Raw genomic sequence first — 19,715 nt, 5'->3', positions numbered from 1 at the left:
GAATTTTTGCTTGGTCCTACCCCTGTATTAAATTTCACATTTAGTAGCCATGTTGCCCAAAGTAGCTTATAGATTCAATGCTATTCCCATTAAACTACCATTGACATTCTTTATGGAACTAGAAAAAACTACTTTAAAATTCACATGGAAACCAAAAAGAGCCCATATTGCCAAAACAATCCTAAGCAAAAAGAACAAAGCTGGAAGCATCAAGCTACTCAACTTCAAACTACACTACAAGGCTAGAGTAACCAAAACAGCATGGTACTAGTACCAAAATGGGCACATAGACCAATGAAACAGTATAGAGATCTCAGAAATAGAACCACACATCTACAATAATCTGATCTTTGACAAACCTGACAAAAGCAAGCAATGGGGAAAGATTCCTTATTTAATAAATGGTTCTGGGAAAACTGGATAGCCATTTGTAGAAAATTAAAACTAGACTCTTTCCTTACAGCTTATACAAAAATTAATTCAAGATGGATTAAAGACTTAAATGTAAAACCCCAAATTCTAAAAACCCTGAAGGAAAACCTAGGCAATACCATTCATGACATAGGCATGGGCAAAGATTTTATAATGAAAACGTCAAAAGCAATTACAACAAAAGCAAAAATTGTCAAATGGGATCTAATTAAACTAAAGAGATTCTGCACAGCAAAAGAAACTATTATCAGGGTGAACAGACAATCTACAGAATGGGAAAAAATTTTTGCAATCTATCCATGTGATGAAGGTCTAGCATCCAGAATCTACAAGAAACTTGAACAAATTTACAAGAAAAAACAGCCCCATTAAAAAGTAGATGAAGGACATGAACAGACACTTTTCAAAAGAAGATATTTATGTGACCAACAAACATGAAAAAAAGCTCAACATCACTGATTATTAGACAAATGCAAATCAAAACCACAACGAGACACCATCTCATGCCAGTCAGAATAACAATTATTGAAAATTCAAGAAATAACAGGTGCTGGCAAGGGTGTGGAGAGATAGGAATGCTTTTACACTGTTGGTGGGAATGTAAATTAGTTCAACCATTGTGGAATACAGTGTGGTAATTCTTCAAAGACCTAGAACCAGAAATACCATTTAACCAAGCGAGCTCATTACTGGGTGTATACCCAAAGGAATATAAATCATTCTATTATAAAGATACATACAAATGTACATTCGTTGCAGCACTATTCACAATAGCAAAAACATGGAATCAACCCAAATGCCCACCAATCATAGACTGGATAAAGAAAATGTGGTATCATATATACCATGGAATACTATACAACCATAAAAAGGAATGAGATCTTGTCCTTTGTAGGGACATGGATGAAGCTGGAAGCCATTATTCTCAGCAAACTAACACAAGAACAGAAAACCAAACACTGCATGCTCTCACTTACATGTGGGAACTGAACAATAAGAACACATGGGCATAGGGAGGGGAACAACACACACTGTGGCCTGTTGTAGGTGGCAGGTGGAGGGACTACATCAGGATAAATAGTTAATGCATGTGGGACTTAAAATCTGGGTGATGGGTCAATTGTGTAGCAAACCAGAATGGCACACATTCATCTATGTAACAAACCTGAATATCCTGCACATATATCCTGGAACATAAAATTAAATTAAATTAAGAAAATACAAATAAAAATAAAAAAATAAACTTTGTATTTTGTTCATGTATTGTTTTCTGATTATATTTTGTTCATTGCTTTCTGTCATCTTGTAGCTCACTGATTATCTTCAAGCAATTATTTTGAATTCTTTTTTGACAGTTTTTTGATTTCCATTTTTTTTAGGGTCAGTAACAGCAGCTTCATTTTTTTTTTTTTTTTTTTTTTTTGGTAGCATCATGCCTCCTTCATTCTTTATGACTCTTTATCTTGCACTGGTATTTATGCATTTGAAGAAGTAATTAACTCTTACATCCTTTACAGACTGGCTTCAGCAGGGAAACCTTTTTTACCAGTCAGGTTAGCCAGATTGTCTGGGTAAGCTGGCTGGAGGAGTCTATGGGACACTGGGTCTATTGCCAATTTATTCAGGTGGGCCTATAGTCAGGTACATGGGTGCAGGCCTGGTGTCTAGATCTGAAGGTGGCCCTCATTTCAGAATCTGCAGAGAAGTCAGATGCTTACTTTGCTGCCACTTTCTTTCACGGACAAACTCATGGACTGAGAGTTATCTTTTTTTTTTCTTTTTTGACACTGCGTTATGTGAGTTTTTGAGAGGGGGGAATTGTGTGAGCAAAACTGTTTTTCTTACCCTCTTCAATATCTTTTATCATTTCTGTACTCTAATTGGGTAAAGAATCCTCTCACCTGGATCACCTGGATTCTGGAGCTCTCATGAACGTATTTTTGTTTGTAAATGATTGTTCAATTGGAGTCTCAGTGGGAGGACGAGGATTGGAAACTCTTTTTTTTTTTTTTTTGAGAGAGAGAGAGTCTCGCTGTTTTTGCCCAGGGTAGAGTTCAATGGCACAATCTCGGCTCACTGCAACCTCTGCCTCCCAAGTTCAAGCGATTCTCCTGCCTCAGCCTCCCAAGTAGCTGGGATTACAGGTGTGCACACCATGCCCAGCTAATATTGTATTTTTAGTAGAGAGGGGGTTTCACCATGTTGGTCAGGCTGGTCTCAAACTCCTGACCTCATGTGATCCACTCGCCTTGGCCTCCCAAAGTGCTGGGATTACAGGTATGAGCCCGACCATGACTGGAAACTCTTATTCCACCATCTTGCTGATATCAATCCCCCAAATTCCTTTAATGTGAAGTTCCTGCCAGTGTTACTTCTTCTTCAACAACTTTGTCTTTATTTTGATCACTTTCCTCATTTATGTAAGTAGATTCACTTCATTCAGTTTCTGTGGCTACACATCTATATTTTCTTGAACAGTGTTGGTGTTAATACTCCCACAGCTGGCTATTTATTTCCATAACTCCATTTTAATTCAATTCAAATTTTATTTCTAATATATCACTTATCATTTATTTGTTGCATGTATATACATATATATATATATATATATATATATAATTTTTAACCAAATCCTTCATTTTAATTATCCATACTGACTTACCACATGAAGACAAGGAAGAAGCACAACTTCATGCTTTGCTGCCTGTGTGGGAACTAAATAACAGATGCAGTTACTTATTACCAGTGGACTTTGTAATAAGTGCTATAATTGGTCACTAATCATAATCCAAATCTGTTATTTATATTGTGATTTGTGGACTAAAGAACTGGAAGAAAGTTCGTACTCTATTCAACTACTGCCAGTTAATATACCATGAAGTTGAATCATGCTGTTTGGGAACTGGCACTATTTAACATTTGACAATTTTTATTGATATATTTTTATATTCACTAACCTTTCTATCTTTGATATCCAATCTCCTATCAGTCACATTCAGTATAGATTTTAAAAACTCAGACAGTGAAATTTTCATATATAATTTTGAATTTTGGTCTTTTTTATATCTTCAGTATCACTACTTAACGTTTTTAACATGTAGAATAGTTATATCTGTTTAAGTCTCTATGTGCTAAATCTAACGTCTGTTCAGTTTGTTTCAATAGATTTAATGATGTACTCATTACATTGCATAGTTTCTTACTTCTTTATATACCTAGTGATATTAGATTGGATGTTAGAAATTACACATCTATCTTCTTTTGTGCTGGTTATTTTTGTATTTCCATAAATATTCATTAGCTTAGTTCTCAGATGCAATTAAATTATTTTTAAATGCTGTGATCTTTTCAGGTCTAATTTTTAATAATTATTGAGTGGGACAAAACTAATCCTAATTATTCTTTACTACTGCATTAACACACATCTGCATGCTTCCCCAATGTCTTAGGAATTATCAGTCTTTCCAGTCTGGCTTGAAATAACAGGCATTGTTTCTGGACCTGTTGTTTGAATCACACAGTTTCCTCTAGTTGTTTTAGGCATTTATTTCCCAGCCTATCATATTTTCCTCAGAAATATATGTGATTAGTACTTAGATGACTACTTGAAGGCAAACCTCTGAGGATATTCAGAGTTCTTTCTTTACATAGCTTTCTTCTCTCTGATACTCCTTTTTTATGGTCTCTTCAGAGTGCCGGCTATATTTATTTAACTCAGAAAATTCCCTGGACTCTCTCTGGGTTTCCCTCACCTGTACTCTAACTTGTACCTACTCTCTCACTGGAGTGAGCTGGCAGATTGTAGCCCTCACTTCATTTGCTTAACATCCTTCAGGGATAACTGTCCATTGCTTTCTCAAATTCCTTGTCTTAAAACCATCACTTGATATAGTTTATCAATTTTTTGGTTGTTTCAGGAAAAAGGTTAAGTTCTGCCTCTATTATTTCATTTTAGTTGAAAGTGTAAGTCTCTCCAATCTATTGTTTGTTATTAAAGCAGCATTTTTATATTGCTAATCAGATTAACCTATCTTATAGCAAAACGCACACACGCAAACATGCACCCACACACCACAACAGTTCTACCTATGGGGAATTATAAAAAAACCCTCACAAAGGTTTCTGAAGTACTTGCAGTTTATGAATTATGTATTCTTGCTTCTAACCATTCATACATTTTTATCCTTGCTTAGCATACCCTTTCCATTGGTTGGTTGATACCTGATTTTACATATACAAGGGACTCTTGAACATTAGTTTGAACTGCAGGAGTCCACTTATCTGCAAATTTTCTTCCATCCCTACCACCCCTGAGAAAGCAGAAGAACCCCTCTCTTTTCTCCTCCTCAGTCAACTCAGTGTGAAGACAATGATGAAGACCTTTATAATGATTTACTTCCACTTAATGAATAGTAAATATATTTTCTTTTTTTATGTTTTTTTTCTTTTTCTTTCTTTTTTGTTTTTAGAAGGAGTCTCACTCTGTCACCCAGGCTGGAGTGCAGTGGCATGATTTTGGCTCACCACAACCTTCGCCTCCCGGGTTCAAGCAATTTTCCTGTCTCAGCCTCCAGAGTAGCTGGGGCCACAGGTGCCCGCCACCATACCTGGTTAATTTTTGTATTTTTAGTAGAGATGGGGTTTCACCATATTGGTCAGGCTGGTCTCGAACTCCTGACCTCAGGTGATACGCCTGCCTTGGCCTCCCAAAGTGCTGGGATTAGAGGCATAAGCCACTGCACCCGGCCTGATTTTCTTAATAGCATTTTCTTTTATTGTAATAAATTACAATAAATTATTGCTTAATTTACTGTGAAAATATAGTGTATAGTACATATAGGATACTAAATATATGGTAATCAGTTGTTTATGTTATTGGTAAGGCTTTTGGTCAACATTTGGCTATTAATAGTTCAGTTTCGGGGTAGTCAAAAGTCATGCACAAATTTTCAACTATAAAAGGGATCTACACACCGAACCCCTGCATTGGTTAAGGGACAATTGTATTCACGAGTCTTCATTTAAATGTCTCTTTAAGAAACCTTCAATGACCACCAAAACCAGTTAGATCTCCTTCTTTTCAAAATCCATAACCTCCTGTACTTTATCCAAGATAGCATCATAAAACATTGCATTTTCATTGCTTACTTGCTTAATTTTTCATTTGTATGTTGACTGTGATTTCCTTTCAGGTGTGGCTGAGAATTTTTACCATACCATGTTCCCCTAGCATAATTCATAAAGCATGACAAAAGCCCAGAAACAATTATTGAACTTATGAAATTATAAAATGTATTTTTTATTTGGAGCATTTCAAGTAAGTTCCTACCCAAGAAAGAAACGTTAAGCATATTTTAATCTCTGACCTCCTTGAAAATGTCAACGATAAAGCAATCCACTTGACTGTGTGTGATATGATTTGGCTGTATGTCCCCATCCAAATCTTACCTTGAATTGTAATTCGAATTGTAAACCCCACATGTTGGGGGAGGGACCTCATGGGAGGTGATTAGATAATGGAGGTGGTTCCCCCATGCTGTTTTGTGATAGTGAGTGAGTTTTCATGAGGTCTGATGGCTTTATAAGGGGCTTTTTTCCACCTTGCTCTGCACTTCTCCTTCCTGCCGCATATGAAGAAGGCCTTGTTTGCTTCCCCTTCCGCCATGATTCTAAGTTGCCTGAGGCCTCCCCAGCCCTGTGGAACTGTGGGACTGTGGGTCAATTAAACCTCTTTCCTTCATAAATTACCCAGTCTGGGAAGATCTTTATAGCAGCATAAGAATGGACTAAAACGGTGTGCTTGAAGAATCATTTTTGGAATTGAGCAAAATCGGCTGATTTAAGCCTTAGCACTCACACTGTTGAATAATATAATTATTTATCCTTTATCCTAATTAACCTCTTCAAGTCTCTTAAAAACCTGACAACATTTAGGAAGTATAGGTTATTTTTATGTTTTAATCTACACCAGATGATTCATCTAAAAATCAACTAATTCAATCACTATAGTTTAAATGAATATAGACTCTGATTTTTGGATGATGTTCTCATAAACACCAACCAACCAGAGTATGAGTCATAATATCTCTAAGGTATTTAAGCAATCAAGCCCCAGAGCCAGCAGGAAGAAAAGTTAACTAACATAACTCATCCAGGACACAGACATTATTGGAAATGTAATTTCTGCTTCAGCAGTGCATTTTGAGGGATGCTAAAAGAATTACAGTGAAAGTCTGAGAGAATAATCGTGTTCTTATAAGTTCAATATTGGATAGAGCAGTTCCTTTGAAATAAATATAACCGAGTAAAACTATTGAATATCCTTAAACATATAAAATATCATGCTTCTACATACACGTTAAAGCATGATCAGAGGTTGTGGCATCTGTGTGCATTTGTACATGAGGGACTGTGAGAGTCAAAGATAGGAAAAGAGCAAGCGAGTGATTGTAGCCACTTCAGAGTTCAAAGATGGGTTGATATTTCTAGGAAAGTATAAGTACTATTACATTCCTACCAAATATAGTTACATCAAGGTTGAAGCTGTGAAAAGATAGTCTTATCCTAATTGAGTAGCTCTTGTAAGGTGTTTAGTATTATACTTAATTTAAAATGAGATATAAATTAGAAACACGCCACTTAAAATTGCATATGCTTTTTTAATAAAACATAAGCCTTATGATCTCTTTTGAACACACCACATCCATTATTTAATTTAGTTTGCTTTTAACTTGTAGACACATGGAAAGTGCATTAATGCAGAACCCCAAAGGAATCCAGAGACATTTGGAAAAATACTGATCTGTAAGTCCATCCCCACAAAGTCTAACTGAATGACCTTGAGTACAGTCTAAGTGTCAGCACATTTATAGTCTCCTCAGGGGGTTCTAAGGTATGACTAAGGTGGAGAAACACTCTGTAAAAGGAATATAGGCTTCCAAGCATGAATTTTAAGGATTTTACAATAAATTTTATTTATGAATATGCTTTTTTTTCTTTCTGTATAATTTGAATTTTAGCAGTTAAATAGATTTCACACTAAGGAAGAAATATGCAAATTTTCTCTAGCACTTCCACCCTAAATATCTCCCATTAAATGTGATAAGAAATATTTTTCTTAATGTCATTCGTGAGTGGCAAATATAGCAATTATCAAGACCTGTATAATCTTTAAATCCCTTTAATATTCAACCCAATATTTCCAGTTACTTATAGCCATAGGCTTTCTACACCAAGCTTGCTTATTTGCAGTGATATGTCTTAGTTGAAGTGATATAAGTAGTTAAAGGCAAGGGAAACAAAGCTATGTCCTTTAGAGAGCTTGAGGTCAAGGGGATAGACTGGAAACCCAGAGGGATAAATGAGATGACTCCTGAAGATAGAATGTAAAAGGTAAAGGGGTGAGAGAATAGTATCTCTGAAGCAGTTGAAAAAAAAAAAAAAAAAAAGACATTGACAGAGTTCTCATTAGAAGAAATTAGGTAAATTTTAATCCCAACCAAGTGCTGCCATTGGAGAAATAGTATTTGGCTGGACCCTCAGGGTCTCATATGTGATAATTCTGTCTTCACACAGCCACCTATTGCAGTTTGCAGTCTTTAAAGAGGATATGTGAATGGAAGACAAAGTTTGCAAACTTAACTGTTTGTTTTACCACAAATTACAGTGATTTATCTTGCCTCAATTTCTAGTGATTTATCTTAGATGGCATGGGTATCTGGTTTTGTCTAACTTGTAACTAGCCTAAGTGGCTTAAAATAACTAAGAGAAGATCAAGAGACATTCTGAGCCTTTTTGATCTTAAATCTATACCCAAATCTTGGTGGCCTGTTAGATCTTGGTATTCTGAAGATGAAGGTAACTGATTCTGTGAAAAATGTGGCAGGCAAAATGCAAAAGACAGGGTTGACCTGAGAGGCTTAGAGCAGAGTGTATTTCCTCTGCCCACATGGGTCTCCCTAAACCAGATGGATGCCACAGGTCATCATGCCACACTTACCACTTGGAGAAAAGAGGGTAGGAGGTAAGTAAGTTGATAAAGAGACCTCTGCTGAATACATTCAGAGCCTTCTCCTCTTCTCTCACAGTGCACACTCTACCACCAGGTACCCTGAGTCAACGTTTCCTCTTAATCTATGACTGACTTAACACATGTTGTAAAGGACACAGTATAGACTTTGAATCCCACTGTAAACCATTAGGTACATTTCGCTAAATAATAATGTTAAAAAAAATGTGTCTTCCATCCAAATATAAATTGAGCATGCGTCAGACATCATCCTCAAATCATAAAATAATGAGGAAACACATATGCTGTTAACAGCAGTCCAAAAAACAATTGATAACCAAGATATAGATATATGGACAATTTAGTAGATGCATGGATTAAGTGCAATGTTGGTTAATATGCAACAGGGCTATAAACCATGCTATTTGGGATTATATATTCAATTGGATGGAAATTATTTGCAGCTCTACTGGATAAAAATCTCCAAGGTATCCTAAGCCCTCACATAGTTGTAAAATAGCCTATTGATTAGAAAGTTAACACCAGTGCTGCACTAAAAGAAAACTTAGTCTTTTTTGATGGCCTATTTCCAAGTGTCAGATAATTTTTCTTAGTAGTTTGGTATATTTGTTTGGCTTGAAATTCTGCATGAGGTGGTGGGAGCAAAGGGAACCAAAGGAAGAGACTTTCATTATTCCAGGCACTGTGTTGAGAACTTCACATACTATAGCTCATTTACTCCTCACCACACAGTAGGCATTGCAAGCTCACCTTTATTGGTGTAGAAAATCTGGCTTAAAGAAGTAAGTAGGCCAGGCCCGGTGGCTCACACCTGTAATCTCAGCACTTTGTGAGGCAGAGACAAGCGGATCACTTGAGGTCAGGAATTCAAGACCAGCCTGGCCAACATGGTGGAACCCCGTCTCTACTAAAAACACAAAAATTAGCCAGTCCTGGTGGAGCATGCCTTTAATCTCAGCTACACGGGTGGTTGAGGCAGGAGAATCGCTTGAACCCAGGAGGCGGAGGTTGCAGTGAGCCGAGATCATGCCACTGCATTCCGACATGGGAGACAGAGTGAGACTTTGTCAAAAAACAAACAAACAAAAAACAACAACACGTAACTTATTCACAGTACCTTGAAGTCTTGAAGTTAGGGAAGGTGGTAATAGGTCTATCCAATTTCAAGATCCTTAGTTTCTTCCATCACAGCCTCCTGCTTTTCCTAAGGAAATGTGTGTTCCCAACCAAAATGACATCCACACTGGAAACTTCCACTTAGTTTCTGCAAAAACATGATTTAGAGCACACATTTTTTTGGTCTCAACCTCAATTCTGTGTCACTCTTCAAATAGATTCTGACCTGTTTCTAAATTCCCAGGTTCTTTACTTTTGCTTATTCTGGATGATGAGTCAGGCACTCTATCCTGGCCACTTTCACTTCGGCTGCCTCTGGCAAACACTTCTGGGAAGTAAGAAGTTAAGGAGCTGCTTCAGGGAAAAAAGAAGGATATTCAGTTAAATCTCCTTATAACTGTGCTTCACTGGCAAATGAACTAATAGTGTTTGCTAGGGAGAGGAGAAAATCCTTATCAATGGGAAGCTTTGAGTGGGCTGTGCTTGGTTGTTTAGTATTGCTCATGATACATACACTTGGGATCCATGAAGTTATAAGGCATGATACTGAAGAAAATGTCATGTAAGCTAGATAACTATCTGAGTATGAACTGAAGATGTTTCTTGACCCAGGTGCCTTTCTTTCCCCTGAGGATGTAGCTATATATATTATTTAGAGACCTTATATGCAAATAGAGCCAGTGTCCAGTGTAGTGAGAAAAGACCTAGGGACCTGTGGGCAACACTCCAGACCTCACTATGCTTCACTACACTTCGTGGTTACTTGTACCCTTGAAATTATGAATATGCTTTGGCGCTGACAAAGATCTGAGATTTTCGTGAGTCTTATTTGAAAACCTGATCCTGTTTTATCTCAATTGCTTCCTAAATTTGGCTAAGAAATTTATGGGCCACCATTTACAATTGTGTAGATTGGGTACTGCACAACTCTAGGGGTCTCTATTTACATTGTAGACTATGAACAGTTGGTTCTGCTATAGCACAGGCTGAGTGATCACATGCAGCATTTCTCCTGCAGAATAACCCAGGCTTCAAAGGAAAGGAGTAGGCAACAGAGGTTTCCATATTGTTAATTCCCTTTGACATTTTATAAAAACCAAGAAAAATTGTTACATTAATAAGAAAAGTGTTTAAAATATAAAATTGATTTTAATGCATGTTATGAATGTACAATCCTAAGTTAGAGGGTTCTGATGGATACCTTTGTAATCTAACTATAAAATCTATTATACATTTAATATTCATATTCTGTTAGGGATGGCTCACACTCTGAAGAAACTAACTGTGAGTTATGCCATTACCTGCCTCAATGTCAGAGGAACACCATATGATACTGAACACGACCACTGAAAACAGAGAGGAGCACCATACAAGTAGAAATAAATATCAACATTATCAAAAAGCCAACTACCTCCTGACCTTGAGTTGTAGTCAGCAATTTGTTTGTTTAATGTAAAGGCCAAAGAATACATATTTTAGATATTGGGGAATTTAGGCCTCTGTTTCAACTACTCATCTCTGCCAGTATAATGAGAAAGCAGCCATAGACAATGCAAAAATGGATAATCATTCCATTGTTGTTTACAAAAAGAGGCAGTGGCCCATTGTTGACAGCAGGTCTAGCGGGGAGAGTGCATCTGTTGATGAATGGCCATTCCAGGTACTCTAGAGAAGGGAATAAGGTTCATTTTGGAGATGCTGCCCATGGCAGCTCTTGGAGATGACTTATATGTAGATAAAGGGTTAAATTTTATAACCTGCAGATTGTTTGGTGTGCCAGCAGGACTGGCTCTGAAGCAATCTTCAGTCTCTGAGAAGACTGGGTTTCCTGTGGTAATGTTAATATCAATCTTGGTAAAAATTTCACACCTTATGAATGTGACACATGGCTGTAGGAGAACGTATTGTGTGTCCTCACTCTCACCACCATCTTTCCAAAGCTCAGGATTACATTCATCTTGCTGATCTGTGGGAAAGTGTATAAACCCAGTGTGCAATGGTGAGACTTGGTAGAACTCTGCTCTTGGACAAACAAATAGTTTGGGTGACTCACAGGGAAAAGGACTGGGCCTGGGGCTGATTCCCAGAGTAGTGGCAGAAGGTGGAATTCTCAAGGAGATTGATGAGATAGATTCAGAAACTTACGTTCATTTGAAATGTTTGGGACTGAGCTGAAATTCAGGGTCAGAGAGATGCCTTTGATCAAAGGCAGACATATAAATGAGAGTAGAATCAAGAATCAGACAAAGGGAAGAAACAGATCAAACAGGTTCCTGATTGGGTGCAAGGGAAGATGCTCTAGTGATCATTGGAAAGCCCCCTGGGTGGTTGTAATCTACAAAATGCCTCTGTGCCAGGGTAACCTAGGAAGTACAAGGGTGATGTTATTTAATGTAGTTAACTGTTCCTTGAAAATAACAATCAGAACATGCTAGTAAGGTTTTCCATTTTCAAGTGATTTAAATTTCTTTTCCCTAACTTTTATTACTTTTTTTTTTTTTTTTTGCTGTGGCAGGGTGTGTTTTCAAAGTGAAAGGATTCTGCATGGAGCACAGGAGTTATTTAAATAAGCAAGGCACCCATCCTCGTTTATTTACATGTGTTGTGTTCTTGACACCTTCTCCTGAGGTGACTCCTCTGGCCCTTCATAAACTTCATGGAGTTGATTTCAGAATAAATCTAGGCCTTGTATTCTCCTCACAAGTGAACAATGGTAGCACTCATATCTGTTTTGCTAGGAAGAGCATACTTCAACTCTGTTTTGTATACCTACATCATGACAATGGGCCTCGAACTGATGCTGTCAACTTTCAGGTATCATAATCTGAATCTTTAAGGTATGTATGTTGGATTTAGAACAAGTAGTAGAAGAATACCATTTTTTTTTTTGAATGGGAGAATTCTGTGTTATGCTCTTCTTTTTTAATGTGATGAGTAAAGATTTGGATCTGTTTCAGGATTTAAATGGATAAGCATCCTTTAAAAAAACAAAACATTTTTAACTTAGAAATGCCAATTCACTTGGCTTCCCAGAATGATTTGCAAATGCAAAGCACTTCCTCTGAGTAAATGGAGGGTTGTTATGGTATTCAATAAATAGTGTGGGCTGAGGCAAAAGGAGAAAGCCTCCATCCTTCCAGAGGAGTTTAGCTCATCAAGAACATAGGCATGCAGTCAAGTCCCTGTGAATGATGTGGTTTCTACACGAATCCCTTCCATTAGAATTTGGGTTATGTGGGAGTAGAAGTGTCATCTAAGGAGGCCAGCTGTCTTCTTAGGCTGTGCCATTTATAGGATTCTTGTGATCTGGATTCTTGTTCTCAGCTTTGCAGTTTCAGCATTTTGCAGTTTTAAAGACATTCAGAGTTGATCAGATGCAAGGAGAAAAACAGACGCTAAGCAAGTACCAGGAGACTGGCTTATCCATCAAAGACTGATCTGCAAAACTGAATGGGAGAGACCCTTTCCCAGTGTGTGGGATGCTCTGTCTCCTGTGAAGAAATTTCATCCATGGTAGCATGAATGTGGAATCATAATAATATAATTTCAGATGTTTATCAACCTGTGACCATGTGCTAGTTCTCTACATTTTATATGTCAGATCTTATTTAAAACTCAACAATCAGTAAAGTAGATACTGTTATTTTCACTAATTTCCAAAGAGAAGTGGAGGCTTTTGTCAGCCAGAGGTGACAGAGCTGGTGAGCGGTGTGTTTTGTTGTGACCGCAGCAGGCTGGCTTTAGCTCTCTCTTAACCCTTAGCACACATGCAAATGAGCATCCAGATACTATACCTTCCGTCAAACACTGATCAATGCAATGCTACCCTTCGGGGCTCATAAGGCCAAGTGAGATGTTTGGTCCTAACTGAGACTTGTTTTTAAGGTTTTTTAAAGATTGTCTTTTGCACAGTGATTTGGAAATTATGCATTCACCAGTAAAGGTAACAGTTTGTTTCATTTCAGTGTTCAGTTCACTTCAATTCAACTCAATTCAGCTTTCATTGAGCAGCATGTGCTATATAGTTAATACTGGATGCATATTATTTCATCAAATCCTCTCAATAGCCTGATAATGCCCTTTTGGTATATGAAGAATTTAGGCTCAAATATCTTACTTAATTTCCTCCAAATCTGACAGAGTGCATTACGAAATATTGAAGAGAAGTCTTTGAGAAACAAAAGAACCTATTTCTAATCAACCTGCCACCATTTACTATCTCATTGACACTGAGTGATTTATACCTTGGAGATAATATCCCAACCACACAGAGGTGTCATCAAGACAGAAGGTGATTATTCATATGAAAGTACTTTTTAAACACTATGCAGCTATTCTCAGAAAAATTGCTAAGTTAAAATGCTGCAGCCACCTTTGCCTCTAGAACATCATTCAAAAACAAGACAAATGAGAAGGAGGAATTTCAACTCCTGGTACAACAATACTAAGAAAGATACACAATCCTGAAACACAAAATATGAGAAAGGCTGCTGAGCAGAGTGAATTTCAGGTAGGGGTGTGGGAAGGTGTTGAAGTGGAGCTGTAGATTTCAGACAAGCAGGACAAAACTGGAGACTGCTATTCTCCCTGGAAAGAGGGATGCCAGCTGGAGGAGAACAGCTCTGTCCTGTGGACTGCCCTTGATGCTTTGGCCTGGGGAGAAATACAGGCTAAATAACTTACATGGACACAGGTATCTGTGCTACAGACCAGAGAGAATTCCTGCCCATCTAGAACATTGCCTTCTCTCTCTTCCTCACAAACTTTCTGCAAATGGCAGGCCCTGGAAAACTTCATAATTCTCGAATGGGAATAGTGATCGAAACGAAGAATCTAGAGGTTCATCTGTGTTGCAGCACGTGCTAGTACTTCATTTTTATGGCTCAATAATATTTCATTATATGCATATACCACATTTTGTTTATCCATTCATCTGTTGATAACATTAGAGTTGTTTCCACCATTTGGTTATTGCCAGTAGTATTGTTGTGAACACTCATGAATGAGTATTTGAATGTCTGTTTCAGTTCTTCAGAGTATATGCATACAAGTGGAGTTGCTGGGTCATATTGCTTAGATACAGAAAGCAGATTTGTTGTTGCTAAGGGCTGGGGAAGAAGGGCTAATGAAGTGTTACAGGATGTAGGGTCTTCTTTGAGACTAAGGGAAATATTTTGAAACTTGACAGATGGGTTAAGACCAAGTTGTAATTGTATGATTCAGGTACTCCAGAACTGGAAAATAACTAGGTTTTCAAAGCTGCAGGAGTGGAATAAAAAAAACTTAATGCTGACACTGGAAACTCGTACACTTAATTTAGCTACACCACAAATAAGTCTTACAAATTGGGCAAAAAGAAGTTTTTAGATTTCACTAATCTAGAGAAACAGATAATGTGTATACCTGACAAAAATTATTGCAAGGAATTGAAGCTATTCATTAAAATATGCTAGAAGTTAGTTCCAAACATATTTCCTATGATACAAATAAAGCTGTGAAAAAAAATCAGTAAAAAACAAATATGAAAACACAAATGCACCAGAATATAGAGTGCAAAGACAGTTCGTCAAAGGTTTTAACTGGAAGAGCAACACCATTGAGGAAGGGGAGAAACCTCACAAGATTATAGAATATGATGGAGAACAAAATATTAATGGCACCCCTTATGAAGTATAACCAAAATATATACCTGTTTCTTGCATGTAAGATGAAACAGCATAATATATCAATGGTTTACGGTCAAATACTTGTGTAGGTATTAATATGACTTTCTCATTTGTCTTTCTAAAAGAAGAATATCGAGACCATCCTGGCTAACACGGTGAAAACCCGTCTCTACTAAAAATCCAAAAAATTAGCTGGGTGAGGTGGCGGGCATCTGTAGTCCCAGCTACGTGGGAGGCTGAGGCAGGACAATGGCGTGAACCCCACGGGCGGAGCCTGCATTGAGCCGAGATCGTGTCACTGCACTCCAGCCTGGGTGAAAGAGCGAGACTCCTTCTCAAAAAAAAAAAAAAAAAAAAAAAGAAGAATATTGCCATCAGAAGAGAAAGTTAAGAATTCAGTGTTAAGCAATGGCCTAAATGATATGTAGAATTATATAAAAACACATATAAATGCCACTTGGCCAAAAGATTGGAACCCCATTGATTTTACAGCATCAGGAACAGACAGAAGATTATCACTAAAACCAAGAAATAAAGTTTAAGACACAAGATGCTGAAGTACCTAAAACAAAGCTAGAATGTAGGGATGTAGGAGTTGGATAAAGTTTATAGATTCTTCCCAATATAAACTAATGCAAAAAAAAAAATAGAGAGAGATCTCACTGATTGTGCAGGAACAGAATTAGATCCTGACTTTCTTAAGAAAGCCAGTTATAAGGACTGGAATGTAAAAAGCTTAAGACAACAATATAGCATAGGACGTGATTAAATGGGTTGGTTACAAATTTAGACCTGAGATTCAGTGGTTATGCCATGTAAGTGATGGTAAAGTTAATTAAAGTTTTAAGCTATGTAGAAGGCATGATAAATCATACCACCAGAGTGTTAATAAGACCTTAAAGATTTACACAACCAGAGCAAAACCTCATATAAAGCAATTATATGTATAAAATCTTAATATAAAAGAAATAGTGTATAAATATATAATGCCATCTAGCCAATGGGTTGAAAATAATTGGTATGGAAGGACGAAATGAAACAGAATGAGATACATAACCCAAGCATAGGGGTTCTTAAGAGGACCAGAATTAAAAATTGAAAATAATGTTTGTGATAATAAGGGAAATTTTCAAATATATAGAGAAGTAATATCTGGAGAGAAGTAAAAAAGGTCCCACATGGTATTCCTGTTAGATCTATAACTAAACAATCACTCCTGGCATCTGATTTTTGGATAACAGAAGACAAACTCTGCTCTAGATGTAATTGGATTAAATTTGTGGATAATGTTTATGGATATATTCAGTGAGAAATGATTCTTATAATTTGCTTCTAACTCTAAATCTACCACAAAATCGACTTGAGACAATGAAAGCACTGCCTCTTTAGATGAAAAGTAAAGCCAAAAGAACTTGATGTGGCATGTGAGAATGTACATCAAATTATGAATATGACTGACAAGGAGTACACATGGTATTGCCCAGGCAAACAGAAAACTTGGAATACTAAAAGAAAATCTGGATTGCCCCCAAGGGGTGGATTTTCCTACCGTAATAACATTAAGATTTCTGAAGAAATGAGGTAATTGTAAGTATAGCCTCCTCTTCTCTTAATACCACATGAAGGTAAACATTTCTATAAAGAGCCTCTGGGCACCAAATGGAGGAGATAATCAAAAAGACAGTAATGGATACTAAACATGCAAATGTAATGATGGAAAGTACCTTGACAAAGGTAGACATCAGATCCACTGTGTATAGCTATATCACGTCTTGATTTGGATGAGTAGAAACACTGGACCATTTGGAATCCTTTTGTTATTGCTGAGTTAATAACCATATATTCTTCTTCTTCTTCTTTTTTTTTTTTTTTTTTTTTTGAGACAGAGTCTCACTTTGTCACCCAGACTGGAGTACAGTGGCACGATCTCGGCTCACTGCAATCTCCGCCTCCTAGGTTCAAGCGATTCTCCTGCCTCAGCCTCACAAGTAGCTGGGATTACAGGCACATGCCACCATGTCCGGCAAATTTTTGTATTTTCACTAGAGACAGAGTTTCACCATGTTGGTCAGGCTGGTCTCAAACTCCCGACCTCGTGATCCACCTGCCTCAGACTACAAAAGCGCTGGGATTACAGGTGTGAGCCACCGCACCTGGCCAATAACATATTATTCTAACAGGCACCATGACAATATTGTTGACACTAATAAGCAAAGAGAGAAGACTCTTAGGTCCTTTAGATTGGAAACACACACTGTGGTGTGGTCCGTAGGTGTCATTAGCAATCCAGATTGAAAGGGGAATTGATCTAACAGAAATGATCATGATACCCTCTGATTAAAGGTGTATTTTTAATAGCTTTATTGAGGTATAATTTACATACACAAAATTTATCCATTTAAAGTGGACAATTCAATATTTTAAGTATATTTATAGTATGTAACCCTCATAAACTAATTTTAGAACACTTTCATCATTTTCAAAACAACCTTATACCTGTTTAGCAGACACTCCTTATCACCCCTTCTATGCTTGGCACCCCACCTTACCTCCCTCAGCCTTGGCCAAACAGAACTCAACTTTCTGTCTCTATTCATTTACTATATATGACATTTACTATATATGATATCAAAAAGTATGTGGTCTTTTGTCACTAGAACTTTTTTACATAATATTTTCAAGTTTCATCCATAATGTAGCAGGTATCAAGTACTTCATTTTTTATAGAACAACATTCAATTGTATGGGTATTTTACCATAACCTATTCATCAGTTTAAATATGTATATTTGAGGCTAGACATCCTTCAGTGCTTTCTTAACAATGCTATACAGTCTAACACTCCATTACCAAGATTTACTAAAAAGAAAAAACCATCACATAATGATACATGAAGATTTAAGAATGAGACATCCTAGGGTGGGCTGTGTTATGTCAAATTGTAAGCTTGTATATGTTCTCTACGTTTTAATGTACATGTAAACATTTATTTGTTAAACTTAAAACTAGATTTTCTACCAGAAGTGTAACCTTGCTATAAATATATTTCTCTGTTAGAGCCGATCACCTCAAAGTTGTAGATGAGTTGTAGTAAATATGCTTTGTACCAATGAGTTCTGGAATGTACTGTGAAGGATAGTATACTACTGCAATAAATCATATACCTAGCTGTTGCAATGAGATACACAATTTGGGGTAGAATTAAGAAGAATGCAGCTGATGCAACTGTGGGCCAATAGAATGTGAGGTGCATTCAGAGACAGCAGGATCCCTTTAGGTACTATGTGACCCCAACCTTCCTAACTGGCCCAGAACGTTGGTCCTCTACACACCTGGGAGTGTGCTGGGCTGTCTGCAGAGGGCTACATCCTGGCAATAAAGCAGCTCTAATCCCTTGTGAGAACATCCAAGGGTAGAGGTCTCTAGACACATGAGCCAGGAAAGAATAGCAGCAGCCGAGAGAGAGAGTGCACAAGCAGTCCATGATTATGCCATGTACCAGAGTAGGCATCCTCTATCCACTTTCTCTTGGTGTGCTCACAGTGGCTGCTTACTGGAAATAGATGAGTAAAAGCTGTGCCAACTAAGTAGTGTATGTGGGCAATTTCTCTTGGTATTGCTTATTTGTAGACATCTCGAAGAGAGGGCTTTATGACCTTAGGGGGTTTATTGCTTGGAAAAATACAGGTTGCCTCTCCTAGGAGAAATGGGTGGTAGTAATTAGGAGAGGTAGGAGAGGGAAGTCAACTTATTTTTTACTACATATCATCTTGCATATTAGGTACTTTTACTGTAAATGCCTAATCCAAACATCTATTTAATATAGGTTATAAAAAATAAAATGTTCTAATATTTAAGCAAAATAAGTTTTAAGAAAATTCCCAGTCCTGGTATTGAGGAATGAGTGGGCACAAGCTAGCATAATGTTGTGTTTTGTTTGGGTTTTAGTCTGTTTAGGTATAAACAGTTTTGTGGACAATTTGGGCCCTGGAATCAGAGAAACTTGGATTTATATCCCAACTGTGTTGAGTAACCTTAGACAAGTTTTTAATCTCTCTGAACCTCTCTTTTTTCACCTGTAAAATAAGGATGAGTATTCCTACTATAGATAATTATTATAAAGTGTAAGTATATGAATAATCATAGCATGATGTTTGACACATGATTGATGATCACTAAATTATAATTTTCATCTTCACTCTTGAAACGAAGTGTTTAAGTCCCATTGATCAGGAGAAAGACTTAAAGTTAGAGATAACTAGAAGAAAAGATTTGAAGACAACAGATAACATAGGCGTGACAAATGAGCTTTTATTATCACTGGTAGGAAAACTGTTTAGATGTAAGTGTGAACTAAGAAGAGACTAAAAGTGACGGCCAGGAAAGCAACCCTAAGATTTTTTCTCTTAGGACTTTTGGGTTGTTTGGTTTGTTGCCTTGGTAACTTCCTGTTCTCTGTTATTGTGTAATGCT

The 19,715-nt window shown here is 37.2% G+C and overlaps 1 long non-coding RNA gene across 1 annotated transcript in view; it reads right to left on the bottom strand.

Moving 5' to 3' along the window:
* Positions 1-9,704, bottom strand: part of LOC124901804 (uncharacterized) — a 60,358-nt gene extending 50,654 nt beyond the window's left edge. Inside the window, exon 1 of the long non-coding RNA XR_007060628.1 lies at positions 9,579-9,704. This is a non-coding gene — a long non-coding RNA (uncharacterized LOC124901804). The remainder of the gene's footprint in view (positions 1-9,578) is intronic.
* Between the last annotated feature and the right edge of the window lie 10,011 nt (positions 9,705-19,715).

This window comes from Homo sapiens, chromosome 7, assembly GCF_000001405.40.
Source record: "Homo sapiens chromosome 7, GRCh38.p14 Primary Assembly".
NCBI classification, from domain to species: domain Eukaryota; kingdom Metazoa; phylum Chordata; class Mammalia; order Primates; family Hominidae; genus Homo; species Homo sapiens.
This window is presented reverse-complemented; position numbering and strand designations above follow the sequence as displayed.